The sequence below is a fragment of the Homo sapiens genome, chromosome 11 (assembly GCF_000001405.40).
Source record: "Homo sapiens chromosome 11, GRCh38.p14 Primary Assembly".
Taxonomy (NCBI): domain Eukaryota; kingdom Metazoa; phylum Chordata; class Mammalia; order Primates; family Hominidae; genus Homo; species Homo sapiens.
Window position 1 is genome coordinate 21,821,802 of NC_000011.10, and position 22,176 is coordinate 21,843,977.

The 22,176-nt window shown below is 34.2% G+C and overlaps 1 long non-coding RNA gene across 3 annotated transcripts in view; it reads left to right on the forward strand.

Moving 5' to 3' along the window:
• The window catches only part of LOC102723370 (uncharacterized), a 366,694-nt gene that overhangs the window by 68,596 nt on the left and 275,922 nt on the right, over positions 1-22,176 (forward strand). Inside the window, exon 3 of one of the 3 annotated variants that reach the window (XR_007062621.1) lies at positions 21,004-21,409. The exons of the other annotated variants lie outside the window; for them this stretch is intronic. This is a non-coding gene — a long non-coding RNA (uncharacterized LOC102723370). Of the gene's footprint in view, positions 1-21,003; positions 21,410-22,176 lie in introns of those variants that run through there. 3 annotated transcript variants of the gene reach the window in all.

Here is a 22,176-nt window from a genome sequence, read left to right on the forward strand (position 1 = left end):
CCAGCCTGACCAACATGGTGAAACCCTGTCTCTACTAAAAATACAAAAATTAGCCAGGCACAGTGGTGCACACCTGTAATCCCAGCAACTCAGGAGGCTGAGGTAGGAGTGACCTGAGATCATGCCACTGCACTCCAGCTTGGGTGACAGAGCAAGACTCTGTCTCAAAAAAAAAAAAAAAAAAAAAGGGAAAAGAAATACTGCAGAAAGTTCTTCAGAAAGCAAATGATCCTAAAAAGAAATGTTCAAATCCATGCGTGTGCACACATATGCAATGAAGAGTACTGGTAAAGGTAATTATGTAGACAATTAGACTGTGTAATTACATTTCATCTCCTTTCATCTCTTAATTTCTTTAATTATCAATTATATAAAGTAATGTGTATATAATTTTACTGTTGAGCCTGTGACATATAGAAATGTAAAATATTTGGCAATAAAAGCAAAAGGAGGTGGGTGAGAGCAAAGCTATATTGGAAAAAGGAAATGACACCAGAGAGTAACTAGAATTCACAGGAACAAGTAAAGAAAACCAGATATGGTAAATAAGAAAGTTATTATTACAAACTCTACAATTATATGCTTGATGTTATTTCTTCTCTCAGCTTTATAAAAAATTAAAATTATATAAAATAATAATTTTTACAACAGAGTGTTGGATGTGTAACACATACTGATGTAGCATGTATATCAATAATGTTACATAAAGGAGGAAGAAGAAATAGACCTATATAGTAACAATGTTTTGTATTTCATTGGAATTAAATTAGTAAAAATTTGTAGAGGATTAGGGTAAGATAAGATATATATGGTAACCCCCAAAGGAAACACTAAAAATTTTTAATAAATAAAAATTTATAAAAGGAATAAAAATATTGTACAAGAAAATATTCACTTATCCTAAAAGAAAACCATGAAGAAGGAATAGAAGAACAAAGAAGACATGAACAAAATAGAAAATAAAACCAAAAGAGAAGATCATGTTCTAACTTATGAGAAATTATCCTAAATGCAAATGAATTAAACACTTCAATCAAAAGGCAATGGGATGCAGTGAAAGTAGCCATGCTTACAGGGAAATGTATAACTATGTTGGATATATTTAATGAGTAGAAAGATAACACATAGAAAACTTAACCTTTAATGTTGACACTGAACACCAAAAAAAAAAAAAAAAAGCACATTAATGCTAGAGCAAGCACGTGGAAAGAAATAATAAGGATTAAGGAGAAATTAGTGAAACATGGAATAGTAAAACAAAAGAGAAAATCAACAAAACTAAACATTAGTTCTTTGACTGTATCAATGAAATTGATGAAATGTAAGCTAACCTAACCAAGACAATAAAGGTAGAAGACTAAGTCAGAAAGGAAAGAGGGCACTAATGACTTTCGAGAAGTAAAAGGGATCATAAGGGAATATATATGACAAACCATTGTATACCCACAAACTAGATAGAAGAAATGGACAAGTTCCTAAGAAGACAAAACAACGACAACTTATTTAAGAAGAAATGGAAAATGTAAATAGGCCTATAACTAATAAATCAAGAGACTCAATTGGTACTTTAAACATTTCCCAGAAAATAAAAAAAGTACAGGCTTGTTGTATAAGGCCAGTATTATCCTAAACCAGATAAAGATATCATAAGAAAAATAGCAGACTAAATCCAGGGAACATGTAAATAGAATGATGTACCATGATAAAGTGGGATTTACCCCAGGAACACAAGTTTGTTTTAACATCTGAAAATCAATGTAATACACTGTATCAAAATACAAAAACTGCATGAGTATCTCAATAAATACAGAAAAACATTTGACAAAATCCAACACATTTTTAATAAAAAATACTTAGTGATCTAGGAATTGAAAGAAACTTCCTCAACCTCATAAAAGGCATCTACAAAAATCTAGGACTAAGATCATAGTTAATGGGGAATGACTGAGTGATCATAAAAAATACAAAGATATTGACTCTTGCTATTTCTTTCTAACATTGTAATGGAAGTTCTAGGCAAAATAATTAAGCAAGAAAAGGAAATAAAAGGTAGTTTATGTCTTAACAAGAAATAAATTAAACTATTTTCAGATGACATTATCTTATATTTAGAAATTTCAAAGGAAACTAGTAAAAAATAGAATAAATGAGTTTAACAAGGTTGCAGAACAAAATATTGATATACAAAAATCAATTATCTGTATATATATTAGCAGTGAACAATCTGCAATGATTCTGTGTACAATAGCATTAAAAATAATATAACACTTAAAAATATATTTAACAAAGCCAGTGAAAAAATTATATGCTGTGAACTATAAAACATTGTTGAAAGAAATTAAGGAAAAACTAGAGAAGTGGAACAAACCTTGTTTCTGGATCAGAAGACGTAGTTATTATTAAGATAGCAACACTCCCCAAGTTAATCTACAGATTCAAAACAAACATTATCAAAATTTCAGCTGAATTTTTTTTGAAGAATTTGACAAACTAATACTAAAATTTATATGAAAATGGAAGGGATTAAGAACAGCCAAAACAATCTTGAGAAAGGAAAACAAGGTTTAGGGACTCACACATCCTCGTTTTAAAACACTGCAGCTTGAATTGCCACCATTTTAATCAGTAGAAAAGTGAAGGACCTGCTGCCTTTATTGTTGTTGCAAGAAAAAACTTCCTCTTATGTCAGTAGCTCTAGGATGAACTATGATGATTAGCTAAGCTTAGGAACACCTTTCTAAACATGTTGGTCAAAAATCTGGGAAAGTGAGGAGAGTGTCTCCAGCCAAATAATCGCAGGCAAGATCAGCCTTTAGTTAGTACTTACAAGGTAAGGAATCCCTCAAATATAGAAAAAAATGTGCTGATACTGGGCAATCAAAACATGAAAAATGTCCACCCTGATATGAATATGGATGTGGGTACTCTAATTTAAAACAAACTGTGAAGGCCCCTACATATATATTTATTAAAAAGTTCTACAAGTTTTTAATACCAAAATCTTAAGCAGCTGAGACATTTTCTTCTTTTTCTGTCAATCAGTATTTTCTAAATATTTTAAACAATGAAATAATATTTATTTTTAATAGAAAAATTATTTTATTTTAATTATTTTTAAAAATGATAACCCAAATAGTTTTCAGTCACTGCTTTATTTTTTATAACTTTTAATTCCTCTAAGTATTCATAGGAACACCCAACTTGAATACTATAGCAATTCCTTCACAAGCATGTTTTTTAATTTTAATTAAATTGATGATATATGCATGGCACATTGAAAATAAAAACGATGCTTTTCACTTGTACCTTTTGGAAAGCTGCACATATCATCATCATATCTGTCATTAATGATTCAGTCATATACTCATAAATCTTCCATGAACAGTGTAGTCTATTTCTAATGAAAGCTTTCAGTTTAGAATAAGAAGCATTCGACTGAGGCATTTTCAAAGTTTTCTTTCATTCAAATTGCTGAGGAAGCTTTAAGTGCCCTGCTGTCCAAATGACTTAGTGAAATTAATGATCCAGATTCAAAGTTAAAGCGTCTGTATTCTTTCTGGAAACTAAATCAGAACACCAGAAACTGGGAGAAAGCATGCCAGGGAGTTGCACTAATAAGCCTGTGATACCAGTGCTTTTCTAAGGCACCAATAAATCAACATTATTTCAAATTCCCTTGGTTCCCTAAAAAGAGCAATTATGCTAGTCAATATAGTAGGGTTGGGCCTGGAATCTGAATCATATGCCAAGTGTGGTAGAAATGTTTTTATTGAAGCTCTCAGGCAACAGTTTAAATAGTTTTTCAAATGAGATATGATTTTGGGATAAAGTTAAAAACACAGAAAGTGCAGTTTAATAAGCTGGACTGTTCATAGCCGGACAGTTACTAGGTGTCTGACCTTAGAAACCATTACAGAAAGAAAATATTACATGAAAACAGGATGCATTAAAACAATGAGACTATATTCCACCCAAACCAGAAAGATAAATACATTGTATATATCTATAACTTTACTCCACAGGCAATTGGAGGGATGAATGCACATAATTTAATAAATATAATTAACTTTTAAGAGGGCTCTTTCTCTGGGTTATTTATGTATTTATTAATTAATACAGCAAATATTTACTGACCACCTACCATGTGCCTGGCATTCTAGTGATGTTTGTATGCACGTGGCAGCAGAATGAGGAATAATGAGGTGGAGGTTGTACATAAAGCCAAGTAGCTCATATTATTGAGGGGTGTGTGTGTGTGTGTGTGTGTAGAGTAGCTCAAAAGATGCATATGAAAATATCATACACACACACAGACACACATACATAGAAACACACACAGATACACACACACATGCATACACACACACACACACACACACACACACACACACTTACCAAAACATAAGGGGTTCTATCATCCTTATTTAGAATTTTGGGAGTCCAGAGAGAGTCTGATTCAATTTCTGCACTTATTTTAATGTAACATACTAAAACTTCTAGTAGGCCTTTTAGCTATATGGTCACTAAGGTATTTTTTAACTTGAAAATTTTAAAATTATTCTATATATCAGTTATATCAATAAATTTGAATAGGCTGAAGTCACCTATTAAAAAGAAAATTATTTTCAAAATTGTCTAGCAAAGAAATACCCAACTATAATCTGTATACCAGAGACATGTCTAAAGAATAATACAAAAAGGCTAACAAAACCGTGGAAAATATATATACTAGGCAAATAGAAACAATAAAGTAGACATTATTTTGCTGATTTCAAAGTGTAATTTGCATTAAGAAGTATCAAATTCAACAAAGGACGCTTTTACTAATGCTAAAGCCAATAATTTAGAATAATTATATAAGTTATATACACAAAATGATAGTAATTATCTTCATAAAGAAAAAATTACAGGAAATACATGAATACATAGATAAAAATACACTAATATAAGAACAATTTTAAATTCCACTTTCTGTACAAGACATATCAGTGGCCAAAAAAGCAAGTAAGAATACAGAGGACCTGATCAACCTAATCAGTAAGGACAACCTTATGGCTACATATTGAAGTATACATCCTGATAATAGCAAACACACATTCATCTTAAGAATATTGGAACTGTCACAAAATATAATCATATGTGGGGAATTTAAGAAAACTAGTAAGTTCTATAAAGTAGAAATATTATAACAGCATACACTAGTATCACAATAGAATAAAACTAGGAACTGTTAAAATAAAATTAAAATGAAGACCAAGCCTGAAAAATTCCTGGCAAACAAAACCAAATAGACCTTAAAAATAGCCTGAACCTTGCTTAAACTGCAAGCGTAAGTGGAACTTTCCATGGGACATTTCTGATAAATGCTTATGTTAGACAGAAACAAAGTCCTGCTAATGATGAGCAGCCAGCTAACATGTGGTTATGTGACTAGAGACTTTTCAATAAGGTAAACCAAAAAAGGGCAATTTGTAACTACAACCAACCATTGACCCTGTAAATACTTGTCTATGTCACCTTGTCATTGGAACACTAAACCTCTTTCAGCTTGGCATTTCCTGATTCAAGAATTGCTTACTTAAACTCTTTAAAATTGTATTATGCCTAAGAGTTTTCTTTTACAGTTTGGTGGCAGAAGTGAGATATGAAGGCAATCACCAGTGACTCCTGGGAGTATCATGGAGCCAGGTGAAAGGTCCACACGGAGCTCATTGTGCCCACTGCTTTCTTCCTGCAACCGGAGTTCCTGAATAAGTGTCTTTCTTATTCTGTGCTCCACATTTTACATCCTGAGCTTTCTGAGTTTGAGTAAATTTGTTCCAATTTGGTGTGGAGATTGGACTGAGTATTCAACAGGAACTAAACTGGTTCCAGTTGGAGGCATTGGGTAGGTAAAAGCTTAGAAGGACTGAGTGTGATGGGTTTATAAGCATTAAGGAGTCAGGGACTTCTCTATTTGGAATGCTAGCTAATTTTATGTTCAAAAATTATGGACTCAAAGCCTGCACCTTTCTAGAGACATGGTTGTACCTACCTTGCCGGAGATGATTTAGAGTTGCAGTGGAGAAGTTTTATTTGAGATAAAAGTATTCATTTATTGAATCTATTGGCAAGGAAGCAACCTTGAACACCCCAGTATCAATGGGATGCATTTTGTAATGGATATAGAGTCTTCTAAAAGACTTACTGATTACAAAATTGACTCTCTAAAAAGACCCTTTACTAAAGGGAAATAAGGCATCTAAAACTTAAACAACAAATTGAGGGTGAAAATAAATAAAATTATATGGTAACTGATGTATCTATGAGCATTTTTCTCCCTTTATCCTCCTCTACCTTCTCTAAAGGTTATTTTGAACCTTTAACCCATTTATTCAACTATCTTCTTGCCCTGAACTTACTAACTCTTTTGCTCAACTATCCTTTTGCCCCGAGAATAACGAGAAAAAGACAGTTAGCTTAATGTCTTATAAGGCTAGATCTTCAGAACAGCCAGATCTGGCTCTTGTAACTACTTTTACTCTTTGGTCAAAAACTAAACTCAGAGCTATAACAAAAGATATTTCAAATATTAGAGAAAATCCATTAAAGAATTACTGAGGAATTTAGAATCTTCATAGGGGCCTATAACCTGGTGATCCCTGATTTGAATCAGTTTATGCACATGATATTATAACCTGGGGAAGAAAATAAATAGGTAACTACAGGGAGATGGGATAAGCCTCAGGAAAGTGCTGATGACCTTTCAAGAGACACTTCTAGAAATGGCTCTTAAGTTGCCTGAAAAACTTATAGAAGATATTCCCATTGTCTTCCCAGAAAAGATTGACTGGTACATTATTAAATCATATAAATAGAAAAAAGAGATACATTTCTTTCTGATTTCAGGGCTAAATTGGAAGTCTTAGTTGTTAAACACTCTGGTCTTAAAATATAGCAGCATGTATTTCCTGGTGGAACTGAAATGGTTCTTAATGGCCCTATTCATTAATTGGCTTTGACCAGAGCTGCATGACCTGATAAAAACAAAATAAAAAAAAAAAACAACAACCCATAAGATTGAATGGGAAGTCACTGATATGACTGAAGCAGTCCCCATAGCTGAATATTTTGAGAGCACTTTAGAACAAGAAAAGAATCAAATGCTGAAATAAAACAGTGAAAAGATTGTTTCTGCATTAGATGAAATTCCCGAGAGCTTGACTCTTGAAACAATAATCAACACGGATGGGGCTACAAGAGATTTTCCACTAAGTTATTCTCATAATATCCTTAAATAAACATAGGGAAACTAAGATCTCAATCAACAGGGAACTATGTATAGTGTTGGTGGATGCCAAAGCCACCTTATCCACTTTAAACCCCAGCCTACTAAATCAACAAATCTCTTGGAGTAAAGAAAATATTTATGTGGTAGTGTTTTCAAATTAAGGTCAGAGAATTCCTGTGTCTAAATTAGTCCAAATGACTCTTAGGCCATTCTCAGAAAGGCATGCCTTCCTACTATGTAATATCATTCCAGTAAATTTACTGGGATGAGCTATGCTTTCCTAATTGAGAGGACGCATAACATTCTCTTCAGAAGGATAATTATTCCTAGAGTTTCCTGGCCCTCCTGAACCTCAATTGTTCTGTTCCCTACAAACAGGAGTTTATAATGTTGAACCCAAAACTTACGGGAAAACCAGATCTCTCTGAAGTACCCAAATATATGTGGGCTTCTTCTTCAGCTGACATAGAAAAAATTAAATGTGCTAAACATATGAAAGTTCAAATAGACTATTCTAAGCTATTGCCTAAATTGCCCCAATACCTGCTAAAGTCAGAGGCAATTTAAGGACTTTCACCTATTGTGGAAGATTAGTAAAACAAGGACTTACAATTCCTTCTGTTATTCCCTGTAAGACTTCAATTTTACTAGTTAAAAAATCGAATGGGGCCCGGCGCGGTGGCTCACACCTGTAATCCCAGCACTTTGGGAGGCCGAGGAGGGTGGATCATGAGGTCAGGAGATCAAGACCATCCTGGCTAACACGGTGAAACCCCGTCTCTACTAAAAATACAAAAAATTAGCTGGACGTGGTGGTGGGCGCCTGTAGTCCCAGCTACTCGGGAGAGTGAGGCAGGAGAATGGTGTGAACCCGAGAGGTGGAGCTTGCAGTGAGCCGAGATCGCGCCACTGCGCTCCAGCCTGGGTGACAGAGCAAGACTCCGTCTCAAAACAAAACAAAACAAAACAAAACAAAACAAAACAAAACAAAATCGAATGGATGGGGTTAGAGATCTGTTCAAGGCATATATACAATAAATAAAATTAGGGTATGCATATTTTCTGTGGTTGCAGATCCTAACACTTTGTTATCTAATGTGCCTACACATTCTAAGTCGTTCACGGTGATACAACTCTGCTCCGTCTTCTTTAGTATTCCAGTTGTTAGGAGAGCCAACACTTGTTAGCCTTTACCTGGAAAAATCAGCAATGTACCTGAACTGTAATGCCACAGGGGTTCACTGAAACCCCATCTTATTTCTTTCAGGCATTACACTAAGACTTGTCAATTGTAAAATTTTCTAGAAATTCCACTCTAATTCAATTTGTTCATGATCTACTGTTATCTTCTTTTATCAAGATTCAATTTATCTTTTACAGCAGTTAGCTTACAAGGGTCATATGGCCTTTATGGAAAAACTTCAGTTCTCTTCATAAAAGGTCCACTACTGAAGACATAGTTTGACAACAGAATGAATTTCCCTTTTACCTGAAAAAGTGAAGATAATTGAAGGGTTTCTTAGTCTGACAACTCAAAGACAATTAAAAGGTTTTGAGCTTTGCAACAACCTGTAACATTAGGGCTCCCAAGTAATAAATAATTTTTCCTTGTTTGTTCACAAATGTGATCATCAAGCCTTGGAAGTCCTTAACTCAGGAACAATGACATTAACCTATTGGTTATTATGTCCTACAGATAGATGCAGTGGCCAGAGCATATCCAATTTGTCTAAAAGCAGTGGCCACAGCAACTAGATTGTTAGAAACCTAATCTCACTTAGTATTAGAGAATGAGCTTTACCTACAAGTTCCACATGCAGTCAAAAACTTATTAAATTGCAATTACACCTAACATTTTTCCTCAAGTAGACTAACAATATATGAAATCCATCTCTTTTTATCTTCTAATCTCCATCTCAAATATTATATTCTGTTTAACCCTACCACTGTGCTGCCTTTGATTGAAGATGGAGAAGACTATAAGTGTGACATTATAACTATTGACTCTTCACATTGACTTACAGGAAACTACTAGGTAATCCTGAATTAATACTTTATGTTGATGGATCTTATGCAAAAATTATAGAAGGGAAATATGAAGAAGGATATGCTGTAACTAATTAACATGAACTAATAGAAAAGGAAACACTCTCACAATTTTATTTAGCACAACTTGCAGAATTATATGCTCTTACTAGGCTTGTTGTAGATAAATCGATTAATATGTATGCAGATATTACATATGCCTTTGGAGTTGTCTGTGATTTTGGAATAGTACAGAAACAGAGAATTTCTCACTTCCAGTGGAACCCCACCAAAAATGGGGTTCAATAGGATAAACTTCTTTCAGCTATTCTGCTACATTCATAGGTTGCTATTATTGACATTGATGCTTATACTTGTAAGACAACCTGAATATGAAAGAAATGCATTAGTAGGCTTTCATATCAGGTCAGAGAGCACTAAAATTATTAAAATATTTAATTTTCATGAACTTCATAAAACGTATCCCAATCAGATCACTTATGATAATTTGTTCAATAAAAAATGCTGTGCACCTGAATTGGAACAACAAAAATAGCATATAAAGTGATGCAAATTTAAATGTTAAATGGGACCTACTGAAGGCCTAGACAGTCATTTCATGCTTCCTGAGTTCCTAAAATTGCTACTGTTAAAGGTTCTTTACTCCACAACCCATCACGAAGTAGACAAAACGGTTCAAATTATGAAAAAGAACTTATGGGGTGATTGTTCTAAAGCAGTCAAAATGGTTTATAACCAATGTCTGACTGGTTAAACTCATAATACTAAAAAAAACCCTGAAGGTTTCCAGTGGCATATTTCTACCATATGCTGGACAATTTGAACATCTGCAGATGGATTTCATTCAATTGCCAACTTCAATTGGATATCAATATATTCTTGTGATTAAGAGCCTTTTTTTAAAGAGGGATTGAGGCTTTTCCTTGCAGAAAGAATGATGTCACAACAGTAGCAAAACTATTAAAATATTTGTTTCCTTTGTGGGGCATCCCTAAATAAATTTCTGGCAATAGGGCATACCATTTTACTGGACAGATTATCAAAAAATTAAATGAGATTTTACAAACCCAATGACACTAACATTGCCTTCATCATCCTCAGTTTTCTGGAAAGATTGAAAGAGCAAATGGTATCTTAAAAGTAAAATCTTAAAACTAAAATTAGCTAAGCTAACAGAGTTGACTGAATTACCTAAGCCAAAAGTTTTACCACTGACCTTAGTGGCAATTAGATCAATTCCTATGGGTACAACAAACTGACTCCTTATAAAATAATTAATGAAATACCTATGCCATTTATAATGGAACACCATGTTTTTCCTGCACTTGTTAAATCTGACTCAATACTGCAAGACCTTGATGCATTATTCCAAAGTATATTTTCACCAAATGAAAGATGGTTTCTGTGACCCATTTAGCAATGGTGATCAGGCCTTTCATTATCTAGAATCTGGAGATTGGGTCTTTTTGGATATAACACCACAGAAAAACTGCCTTTGAGCATCACTGGAAGATACTATATTTGGTTCTTTTTACCACACACACTGCAGCAAAATCTCAGGGTCTTGAGCCTTGGGTCAATGTCTCTCAAATAAAGAGAATTCCCTTAGACTTTTGTACTTGTTAAATACAGATGACTTAAAATTAAGGCTATGCAAAGGAGAGCCTTCCCTAGAAGCAAATGACATCATGAAGTAGACAGCTTTACCAATATGGGGAACAAGAGTCCATTTGACTCCACTCCATTGACTAAAACTTGTTTCTATTTTACATTAACAAAAAATGTTCAAACTCTTATTTTTTAGGAAATTTTACTATTTATACTGCATATCTTCTATAGTCTACTGTTGAAAATATAGCTACTTTCATTAGTGAAAGCAATTGCTGGCTATGTAGTCATCTAGATGAATGGGCACAACCACCATGAATACTAGAACATGCACCAGTACACACTTGGGTGATCAATTTAGGAAGCTGGATTTATAAAAAGTTTGGTATCCTTACTTTGGCAGGCATATTTATGCTCAAATGACTTGGCACTGGCAAAAAGCAATAGAAACAAGGGATACCCTATAGCTATTGATTTTATTACTGGTAATTTATCTTCAGGCATAGAAAACCTTAATGGAACTGGACCTAATCTAGGCTATATTACACACTCCTTCTGTAATGAAACACTTTGATTTTACATAAATAATGAAGACTAGACTTTTATATATAATGACACAGATATAAAATCAGAACATGACAATGATACCCTCAACCATGTTATCAGACAACTCCTCAAAACTAGACATGGGTTTATTGGAAACTCTAAAGGCAAATGGAATGCTTCTTTAGTTCCACTATCTAAAATAAATGATAGTCTTATTTATTGGATATATCAATATCTAAAGCATATTTGAGGAGGAAATCAATAATTCTTAGTTGGTTATGGCATACATGGGTTACTTTATCAAATTCATAAAATGTTTTTTGTTTCTACTCCTATCTAAACCATACAAGTTTAGCCTAGCAATATGTAGATGCAGATATGACAACAAATAACCATGACATTTATATCACCTCCAACTGGTGGGTGATAGGATCCACTTTGATCCTTTTCCTTTAATAGTACTGGATTATTCGTTGTGTGTGGCAACAACATATATAAAAGTTTTCTACATAAATAATCTGAATGCTGTGGTTTGGGCTATCTCCTACTTAAAATGACCAGATATGACTTTTTAAATGCAAGTCAAACTAATTTAGTGTCATTCATATGTAAAGCGACCCCTACAAATGAGCCTCTTATGATCTTCCAAACCCAATTATACAAAGGGGTTCCAGATTTCATTATTTTGTAAGAATTATTTTTTTCTCAGTTGGCAGTCTCTAAATTGAAAACATGCTTATTAATATTCCAGCAAGTATCATTTGAAAAAAGTTCAAATGATACTTTGAATTATCCTAAAATAGTACAATCTGGCATAAATAATTTGGCCTCAATAGTACTCCAAAATAGTAGTTGTATTGATATTTTAACGGCTTGAGAGGAATTTTTGCCCTAATTGTGAAAAGTGTTATTTCTATGTTAACAAATCAGACATGCCTTCAATTTAAAAGATCTTAAATACAAGTACATTTTTTTTTAATCAGATAAGCACTGCCTCCTGCAATTATTTATTCAGTTGGTTAAATCTTGGCTTCTGGTAATCTTTGCTCAGAGGAATTTTTCAATCCTTGGCTATTGTTCTCTTTATAGTTATTATGTTTACCTCTTACTCCATGTGTTGTATTCTTTCGAGGGTTTTAAATGCTTTCCAGCCGTTCCTTTCATGTCAGATGATTTCCATCATGGTCAGACAAGGAAACCAATACTGACTATGGAATTGCTGATGGTGGTTATATGACGCTAAACCCTAGTGAACCTATTGATAATAACAACATCTACTTGACTCTTTGTTCCAGCAATTACATCAATAGTGGTAACTGAGATTAATGTTATGCTATTTGGTCACATTCTTAGCTTGCTGAGAGAATGACCAAAAGAGGGGAATTGTTAATGCAAAGTTAAAATAGGTACTAGGCCTGTAAATTCCTGAGCAAAACCAACTGGGCTTTAAAAATAGCCTTAACCGGTTGATGCAGTGGCTCTCATCTGTAATTTCCGCACTTTAGGAAGCCAACTCAGGAGGATTGCTTGAGTCCAGGGGCTTGACATCAGTCTGGGCAACATAGTGAGATCCCATCTCTCCCTCAAAATTGGAAATATTAGCTGGGCATAGTGGTGTACATGATCACAGATCACGCCTGTCTCAAACACCTGGGCTCAAGGTATCCTCCCATCTTGGCACCTCCCTTGGGCCCAGATTTCTTGGGCCCAGGTGTTTGAGGCTGCCATGATCTATGATCACACCACTGTACTCCAAACTGGGCAACAGAACCAGACCCTGTTTCAGAAACAATAAAAACAATGAAAATAGCCCTAACCTTGCTTAAATTGCAAACATATGGAAAATTTAACTAGGGTCATTTCTGACAAATGCTTATGTTATACAACCTCAGCCATTGATAAGCAGTCAGTTAACATTTGGTTATTTAGGCACTTTCCAACCATGCTATGGTTTGAATGTTCTAAAACTCATGTTTAAATTTAATGTTAGAGGTGGAACCTTTGGGAGGTGATTGGATACTGAGGACTTTGCCCTCAAGAATGTATTAATGCCATTATTGTGGGAGTGAGTTAGTTATTGAGACAGTGAGTTCCTGATAAAAGAATAAAGCTTGGTCCTCATTTTCTCTCTGTCTTGCACACTCCCAATGTGATGCCTTCCTCCATGGGATGAAATCCTCACCAGATGCCAGCATCATGCTCTTGGATTTTCCAGCCTCCAGAACCATGAGCCAATACATCTATTTTCTTGATAAATTACTCAGTTTGTTGTATTCTGCTATAGCAGCAGAAAATGGACTAAAAAGATAAACCAAAAAAGGGAATTTTGTAACTGCAACAATCAAATAATTTATTTGCTTCTGTACTCACCTTCTAATTCATAACTACCTGCTTCTGAAAATTTGCCTTTGGAACGCTAAACCTCTTTCAGTTTGGTGTTTCCAAATTCATGAATTGCTTCTTACTCAAATATACTCTTTAAAATATTATTGTGCTCAGATTTTTATTTTGTAGAACTAATAACAATATAAAGAAATTCAGGCCCTTTAACCTGAAAATGAAAAAAATCATATAATAAATGACTTGTGAGTGAAAAAGAAAATTAAAATTATAGAGTTTCTAAAAATTAATAAGAAAATATAATAAATCAGAATCAATGGGACATATTTAAATAAGAATCAATGGAAAATTAAAATATACACAAATAAATGAATTCATAACCATAAAAGACGGAAAACAATGGGATTAAGTTTCTATCTAAAATGCTAAGAAAATGGTGCATTCAAAGCAAGTGTAAGAAACAAAATGATTAAATTAAAAGCAAATGTCTTGAAGAGCATAGAAATATATGTAGAGCATAGAAAAAACAAATAGATGGACTGCTAGTCAACTTAATCGAGGGAAAAAGGAAACATAAATATAAAATAAGATATGACAAAGGGAAAATAACCATTGAAACAGAATACATTCAAAAATGTTTTAAGAGACTACGTTATAGATTGCTGTGACCACAGTAGAGATGGAAAGCTTAACTATGTCAATTTCCATTGAAGAAAACAGAGAATGGTATTTTAAAAAAACATATAAATACAAATCCTAGATCAGAGTTCTACCAAATGTCCAAAGACCAAAGATAGCCCCAGTGATATGTATAACTTTCTCCAGAGCCTAGAAAATGAAGGAACTTTTGAAATTTCTCTTTAACAGTAATACCTAAACCTGATAAAGGTTGAAGACAGGAAGGAAATTACAGACTGATATCACTTATGCAAAACTAGAATAAAACCTTTTTAACAGAAGCCAATGTCACAAGAAGAAAATAATACCCAATGATCAAGTGAGATTTATGAGAAGAATGCAATATTTGTTCACTATTAGCAAATGTATTAATATGATATAACATATTAATAGATCTAAGCAAAACGCAATACATGATTATCTTCATAGACGCTAAAAAATCCTTTGACAAACACAATATCCACTTGTAATTGAAAAATACCCAGAATATTGGAATTGGCTATTTTACAGACATTGGATGTTATTTTGAATACAATGGGAAGTTAACGAAGAATGTTTAAGCAAAAGCAGTAACATGAGCTAATTTGTTTTCAAAAATACCACTCTGGTTCCTGTGCAGCAAATAAAAGACAAGAGGGCCAAGAGCAGAAACAGGGAGTCCAGGAGTAGCTACTTCAGTAAATTTCTGGTCTTGACCTGAGAGAATCCACATTGCAAGGAAAGAAGAAACAAAGAACCCTTCAGGAAACAGCCTTAGAAGAGGCCTAACCTATTTTCAGGTCATGGGTTGCAATGAAAAGCCACCACAAATTCTGGGGAAGTTAGTTAAACTTTGTGACCTATTTTATACATAGTTTCTTTTATACAGAAGTAATTATTGTGTGAGTTTTTATCATAGATTTATCAGACATTTCAACTCATATCTTTTCTAGGAGAAAATTCTAACAGTTGTGTTTGTTAAATTTAAACAAATAATTCTTTTTATTCAATTGCTATTATTTTTAAGTGTTAATGTATCCAGCCATAATAGCATTTTATTGATCTACATTTTTAATTACACATTCCATCACTGAAAGTTAATCTGATAATGATTATCCATTGAGTAAACATTGAATGGTAATTAGAAGGCTAGAGATGCTCTTGGGTAGTGACAGGGAAAAGTGATCATTCTCTCCATTAGAAATAGCATAATTACCGCACAAGACTAAGGAAAATGCATAGAATTCATTAATGAGTACATATCAGGCCTTGTTTGTGTTTCTATGAGAAACCCTAAGCTTATGCCTAGAACTTGACATTCAAGTGAATCTGGAAGAAAATGTTTGACCAACTGGGCATAGGTGCCGGTCTAGGTAAGCCTAGAAAAAAATGGCTCCTACTTACTGTTAAGTCAGAAATTATTTTTATTAGACATTATTTTCCTTCTCCCCTTTTTTACTGGAATTATTATGTCATCTGGATTTGTTATTTGTCTGTTTTTAAGCTCATTGTGTGTATGTTTCACACACACACACACACACACACACACACACACACACACACACTAATGCAAATGGCTCTGTGCCCTGCTTCAAGGGAACATTTCCGCCTATGATTGAAATTCTACTCCTCTTTCTTCAGAAGAAACAGCAAAACCCATTATCTTGTTTTCTTCGCTGTTACACAAGTGAAATCTATTTTACCCAAAGATCTAATTCATGTTGCTTTTTCACTTAAAATTCTTCAAAAATCCTCAGCAGTTACAGAATAAAGTCCACACGTTTTAACATTGCTTCCATAATCCTGAAGCTACTTTACCTTCTGAACTTCTTCCCTGTGATCTTTCCCAACTCAGTATTTTGGGACACATTTTCCCTTTTACTGGCATATTCTTCTCTTACTTCCTTGTTTGATGTTCTTCTATCCATTCATCAAAACACAGCTCAAATGTGATTGCCTTTGCCTAGAATTCCCTAGCATAGACATTTCTTATTTTGTTTATATGTAGCACATATCTTCATTAGAGTGCTTAAAATATTATTATTGTTTATAGCTTTGTCTCTAACCAATTAGTGAGCTCTTGGTGTTAGGAATTGATTCTTCATTTTAAATTTTTTAATGTTTTTATTTATTCAACAAATATTTATTAAATGCCTACTGTTTGGCAAGTCATGAAGTGATATAAAGTGAAGAAGACGGAAAGAAGCAACTTTAAATGGAGACAGCAGGGCAATTTCCCCTAAGAAGATGATACTTGAAACAAAATTGAAAAATGAGGAGGTGCCAACTAGTGAGGCTCTGCCAGAGATAAAAGCAAGTGGAGACAGGTTTAATACAGACATAAGATTGGCATGTCTGGGAACAGAAACAGACCCTTGAGACTGGAGAGGGAGGGATGGAGAAATGATAGAATGAACCAAACTCCTCTCTGTTTTCACAGATGGCGTACTGAGCCTGGAAAACAGAAAGATTTCTCCAAAGTAACTTCCTGAATAAACGTTGTGTTTAAAAGAAATGTTAATTAACCAAGTTGTTTAGAATGATATAATTTAATAACTGAAGAGATGTTTAGAATCCATCAAATCTTACCTTTTATCACAGATGGGAAAAATAATAATAGCCAGTCCCTGAGACCAATTTTCTAAGATATATTTATCACATGAAATCATTTCAGAGAAAATAAGCAAGAAATGAACAAGGTTTTTAATGGCAATTCTACTGAATGTTTAAAAAAACAACATTTCTCATAGTTGTTTCTTGTGCTGATCTTTAAAAACCAAACACCGCATGTTCTCACTCATAGGTGGGAACTGAACAATGAGAACACATGGACACAGGAAGGGGAACATCACACACTGGGGACTGTTGTGGGGTGGGGGGGGGGAGGGGGGAGGGATAGCATTAGGGGATATACCTAATGCTAAATGATGAGTTAATGGGTGCAGCACACCAACATGGCACATGTATACATATGTAACAAACCTGCACGTTGTGCACATGTACCCTAAAACTTTAAGTATAATAATAAAAAATCAGGGCATATTGAATTATTATTCAGTGGGTACATTAAGAACAGAGACTTCAACACTGTGCAATATATGCATGCACTTGTACCCCATAAACATATAAAGGTAAATAAATTTTTAAAAACAAAAAATGAATAAGTTATTATTCAGTGATAGACAACCAATTTAATAAAGTCTAAATATATCAGTTTCTGATTATGTGACTTGATATAAGGACATGTCTTCAAAGATTTAGAAGAGTAGTTTTCAAACCATACAGGCTCTAATACTCAGGAAAGCTACTGAGGGGATCCCAAAGGGCTGAGGGCCCAGCTGGCTGGCTAGTGAAATCACCTTGGATTCTACCTGCACCTAAATAAGATCAATTCTTTTTTTATCCATTTATATATCAAATTTCTGCACAATAATTATTTTAAAGAGAGTTATGCTACTAAGAATAATAGAAATCTGTTGATCTAAAGAAATATTTAGTTGTTACCTGAAGCACAATGTTTCTTTAAGTCACTTTTATATCTACTACTTTTTATATATACTTTTTATATACACTGCTTTTCCTGAGCACAGTGTAAAAGGCCAGGGCAAGCACATACTCACCTCACAAGCCTTATATCTGCACTTTTCCCATCAGTCTTCCTCACATGTGATTCCAACCTGTTACTGACTTTCTTGATACGACCTTAATATTCAGTGTCTCATGTCTCTCTTGCCTTGCTCTTTGGACTTTACATTCTTTACTGTTTTCCCAGCTCTAACCGCAGACCTTGACCCCTCTCCACAGCCCTTCTTCTTTTCTGTAAAGCAAATATATTGCTTTGGGTCACCTCTTCTAAACACTTCTATTGTTTCAATTTAGTAGTGCAACCCTCCTAACCCTGGCAGGACTCCTTGTGATAGTGCTTCCACCAAGCCCAGCTCACATCCTCAGTGAGAACGGCCATTAAGAGATACTGTGCAACAAGGGGCATGTTCTAAAATACCAGTTTCCTATTTAACCCTACTGACAACCTACTTTCGTTCTTTTTTTTTATTTTTTTAATTATACTTTAAGTTCTAGGGTACATGTGCACAACGTGCAGGTTTGTTACATATGTATACATGTGCCATGTTGGTGTGCTGCACCCATTAACTCGTCATTTACATTAGGTATATCTCTTTTCTACTTGATTCCTCCCTTTCTCTTTCTTTCCTCATTTCTTATATGACACAACTGACTACACTCTGTGGTAGTGGAAATAACACAATAAATTAGTGATAGAAATCATGAGTTCTGTGACTAATTGTAGGATAGTGAACATATACCAAATATATCACAGAGGCTCTGTACACATCTCTATTTTATGCTTCCAGAAAAATGACATCACATAGGTGAAAACAACTTAGAAAGTACAAATCGCCACACAGATGTTAATTATTAATATGATTGTGTTTTCAGCTATAGATTTTATTTCAAATGATTTCCCTTTATAGGTGCATTTTATAGCTGTTTACAGCCCTTTCTCCCTGTGAAGACACAGGTTGAATATCTATCTTCCTTTTGAATTATGGAACAATCCCCCTATGTCCGTATTCCATTCTTCAATTACCACCTCTACTTATCCTGCTGCAGAATTAGATAAAAGGTTCACCAAGCCAATTTCTGTATTTGTATAACAGTTCAAGTGTTTTAACAGTATTAATTAGATAAATTCAATCACATGCCAAAACTCAGTGTGTACATAGTACTTTCTAATAGGATAGCCACTTCAGGAAAAATATTGGAGAGGCTCTACTGTAATCTATGTTTAGAGTCATATCATTGTTATCATTCTCCTTTATCTGCAAGTATGACTCACTCAGAAAATGCTTCTTTAATTTTGCCTTTGTTTGCTAGCCCATGTTTTGAATGAACGTATTTTGCCAAACTACTTCAGTTATGGGTAAAATACTTTATTTAGAATGCCACTACGTGTAAGAATAATAGCAATAGTGACACAAAACAATGAAAGTTACATTTATTTGGGGACTGCTATATGAAACATTCAATTGGATGCCAATTTTACAGACAGGGAAACTGAAACTCAAAGAAGTTAAGCCACAGCAAAGTTTAGAGAGCTGGTTAGTGTTAACTGTATATGAAAACAAACTTTCCATATCAATATAAAATAAATACTGGGCCGGGCGCAGTGGCTCATGCCTGTAATCCCAGCAATTTGGGAGGCTGAGGAGGGCGGATCACAAGGTCAAGAAACTGAGGTCCCCCATGTTGGCCAACGTGGTGAAACCCTGTCTCTATTAAAAATTAAAAAATTAGCTGGGCCTGGTGGCATGCACCTGTAATCCCAGCTACTCAGGAGGCTGAGGGAGGAGAATTGCTTGAACCTGGGAGGCGGAAGTTGCAGTGAGCCAAGATCATGCCACTGCACTCCAGCCTGGCAACAGAGTGAGACTCCGCCTCAAAAATAAATAAATAAATAAATAAATAAATAAATAAATAAATAATACTCATCATAAAATAGCACACAATATTAGAGAGTGGTTATAACCTACCACAAAAGATAGTCTTTGAGATAACAAAGTGGAAGAGCTTCGGGATAAATCCAGCTTTAGGCTTACAAGAATCTAGATGGTTCTCTTTAAGAAAAGTAATACAAAATTAAAAATAAAAGTAGAAATTTATTTAGAATAAGAAAAGAAACATTAAGAAATCACAGAACACAAAGATCATAGAAACATAAGAGTATTTTATATTATTTAGCCGCTTAACATACCTTTATAATACTTTTTTTCATTTATTATTTGACTCTATACTCGTTGATTGAATCTTGATATAACAGATTTATAATATTATTATCTACGGAGAGACTACAAAGATAGTTTAGACTTTCTTTAAGTATTGTTAACCAAAAACAACTTTTGATAATAGTTTACAATTATTTTTGGTTCATGATTTTCATCATGTAAATGTTTGGAAATTTTGCTTTTGAAATGATCAATCAGGTTTTCTTTTTACACATGAGTTGACTTATTTTAAAACATGTCAAGTTTTCTCTTACTATGCTGGGTTTTAAATATTCTTGTACTTGTTGACCTTCATTAACAAGATTTTCTTAATATCTTTATGTCATATTCCTAGGTGAGTTAGCAGAGGAGGTGGCAAAAATATACCTGGAAACTGTTGCTACACTGGGCAGATTTATAATAACTAAATTTAGTGATAACTATGCCCAGAACTGACTGTGAACCACATAATACATCACCATGAAACCCAAGTAAATGGATCCCCAAGTCAACTTCTACTTCTCTGTATCCCAAAATTGCTCATAGCTGTTCCAATGCCACCTACCTCAAGGGAAAGGATAATAAAGGGAAGGTTAAAATGGAACGAGACAGCAGTGTTAACCTCTTACATTAAAATATTTCTATTTTGAATATTTTGTGAAAACATATAATCTGCCTTATATCACAAAAGCCACTAGGGCCTTGGAAGGGGTAAGTGAGAGGCCTAATGTTTACGTTTCTTTCATGTCATAGTAAATCCACTTCTGAGGAGAAGAATGAAAGCCAAGGCAGATATGAAAGAGCCATGGACTGCTGACCTTTGAACCCTGAGAGGAGTGCAGAGCTCACTCATATTCTAATGAAGTATTTTTCTACCCTTATTATGATTCTGACTCACTATACTTCTTATCAAAATTACATGATGAGGAATTGTATGTTTGAATAGCAGTCAAATGAGAAGAGACTTTATCATTTAGCAAATCTATCTGCCCAATTTCGTAGCTTGAGACAATGCAAAAATGTCAACCCATGATCTCTATCCCATTTTCTTTTGATTATCTCTACAGCTTGTAAAAATCTCTGTACTTTTTTTCCAGTTTAATTCTATCTAGGTTATATTATACATTGATTTAGTTGAATAAAATCTATTACATAATAATGCTTGGTGATTATTACTTTTATAAACCCAATTTTAGTCAGTTCAGTGTCATCCCAAAGGCACTGTTACATGAAATGGATTAAATTTTCTCCCCTTTCTTTCATCTTGTCCCAGTTAAAGTAGGAATAAGATGATGTTGAAAAAATGATTGACTCTGTGTAGTTGGAAGAATTCTAACATGACTCCTGTGATTCCTGCACTCTTGTATGCATGCAATGAATAATCCCCTACCCCTTGATTATAGGCAGAACCTATGAATATGAAGGGATATCACTCCCAAGATTAGGCTACATTATGTGGCAAATTGGAAGGGATTTGATGGACACCTTTTAAGATTCCTATTCTGTTAACTTTAAACTAATGAAAAGAGGGATTAGCTGAGTGGGCATGACCTAATCAGGTGAGTTCTTTAAAGGAGGATTTAGAGGTCAGAGAAAGAAGCAGTCAGCATGGTTGAAACCATCAAAGACTCTCTTTCTTGCTGGCCTTGAAAGAAGCAATATGCTTTGTGGTGGAGAAAGCCACATTGTCGGGGAATGGTGGGCAGTCCTAGAAGCCAAAGACTTCAATTCTGCAAACACAAGAAATTAAGTTCCACCACAAACAAATGAATATATGAAACAATCCTGCAATCCAGGTGATATCACAGCCTCTGTTGACACCTTGATTTCAGCCTGATGAAACTCTGAATAGAGGATCTCTGCCCTGACACCTGATCCATAGAAACTGTGAGGTAATAAACTTTGTCATAATTTGTTACACAGCAA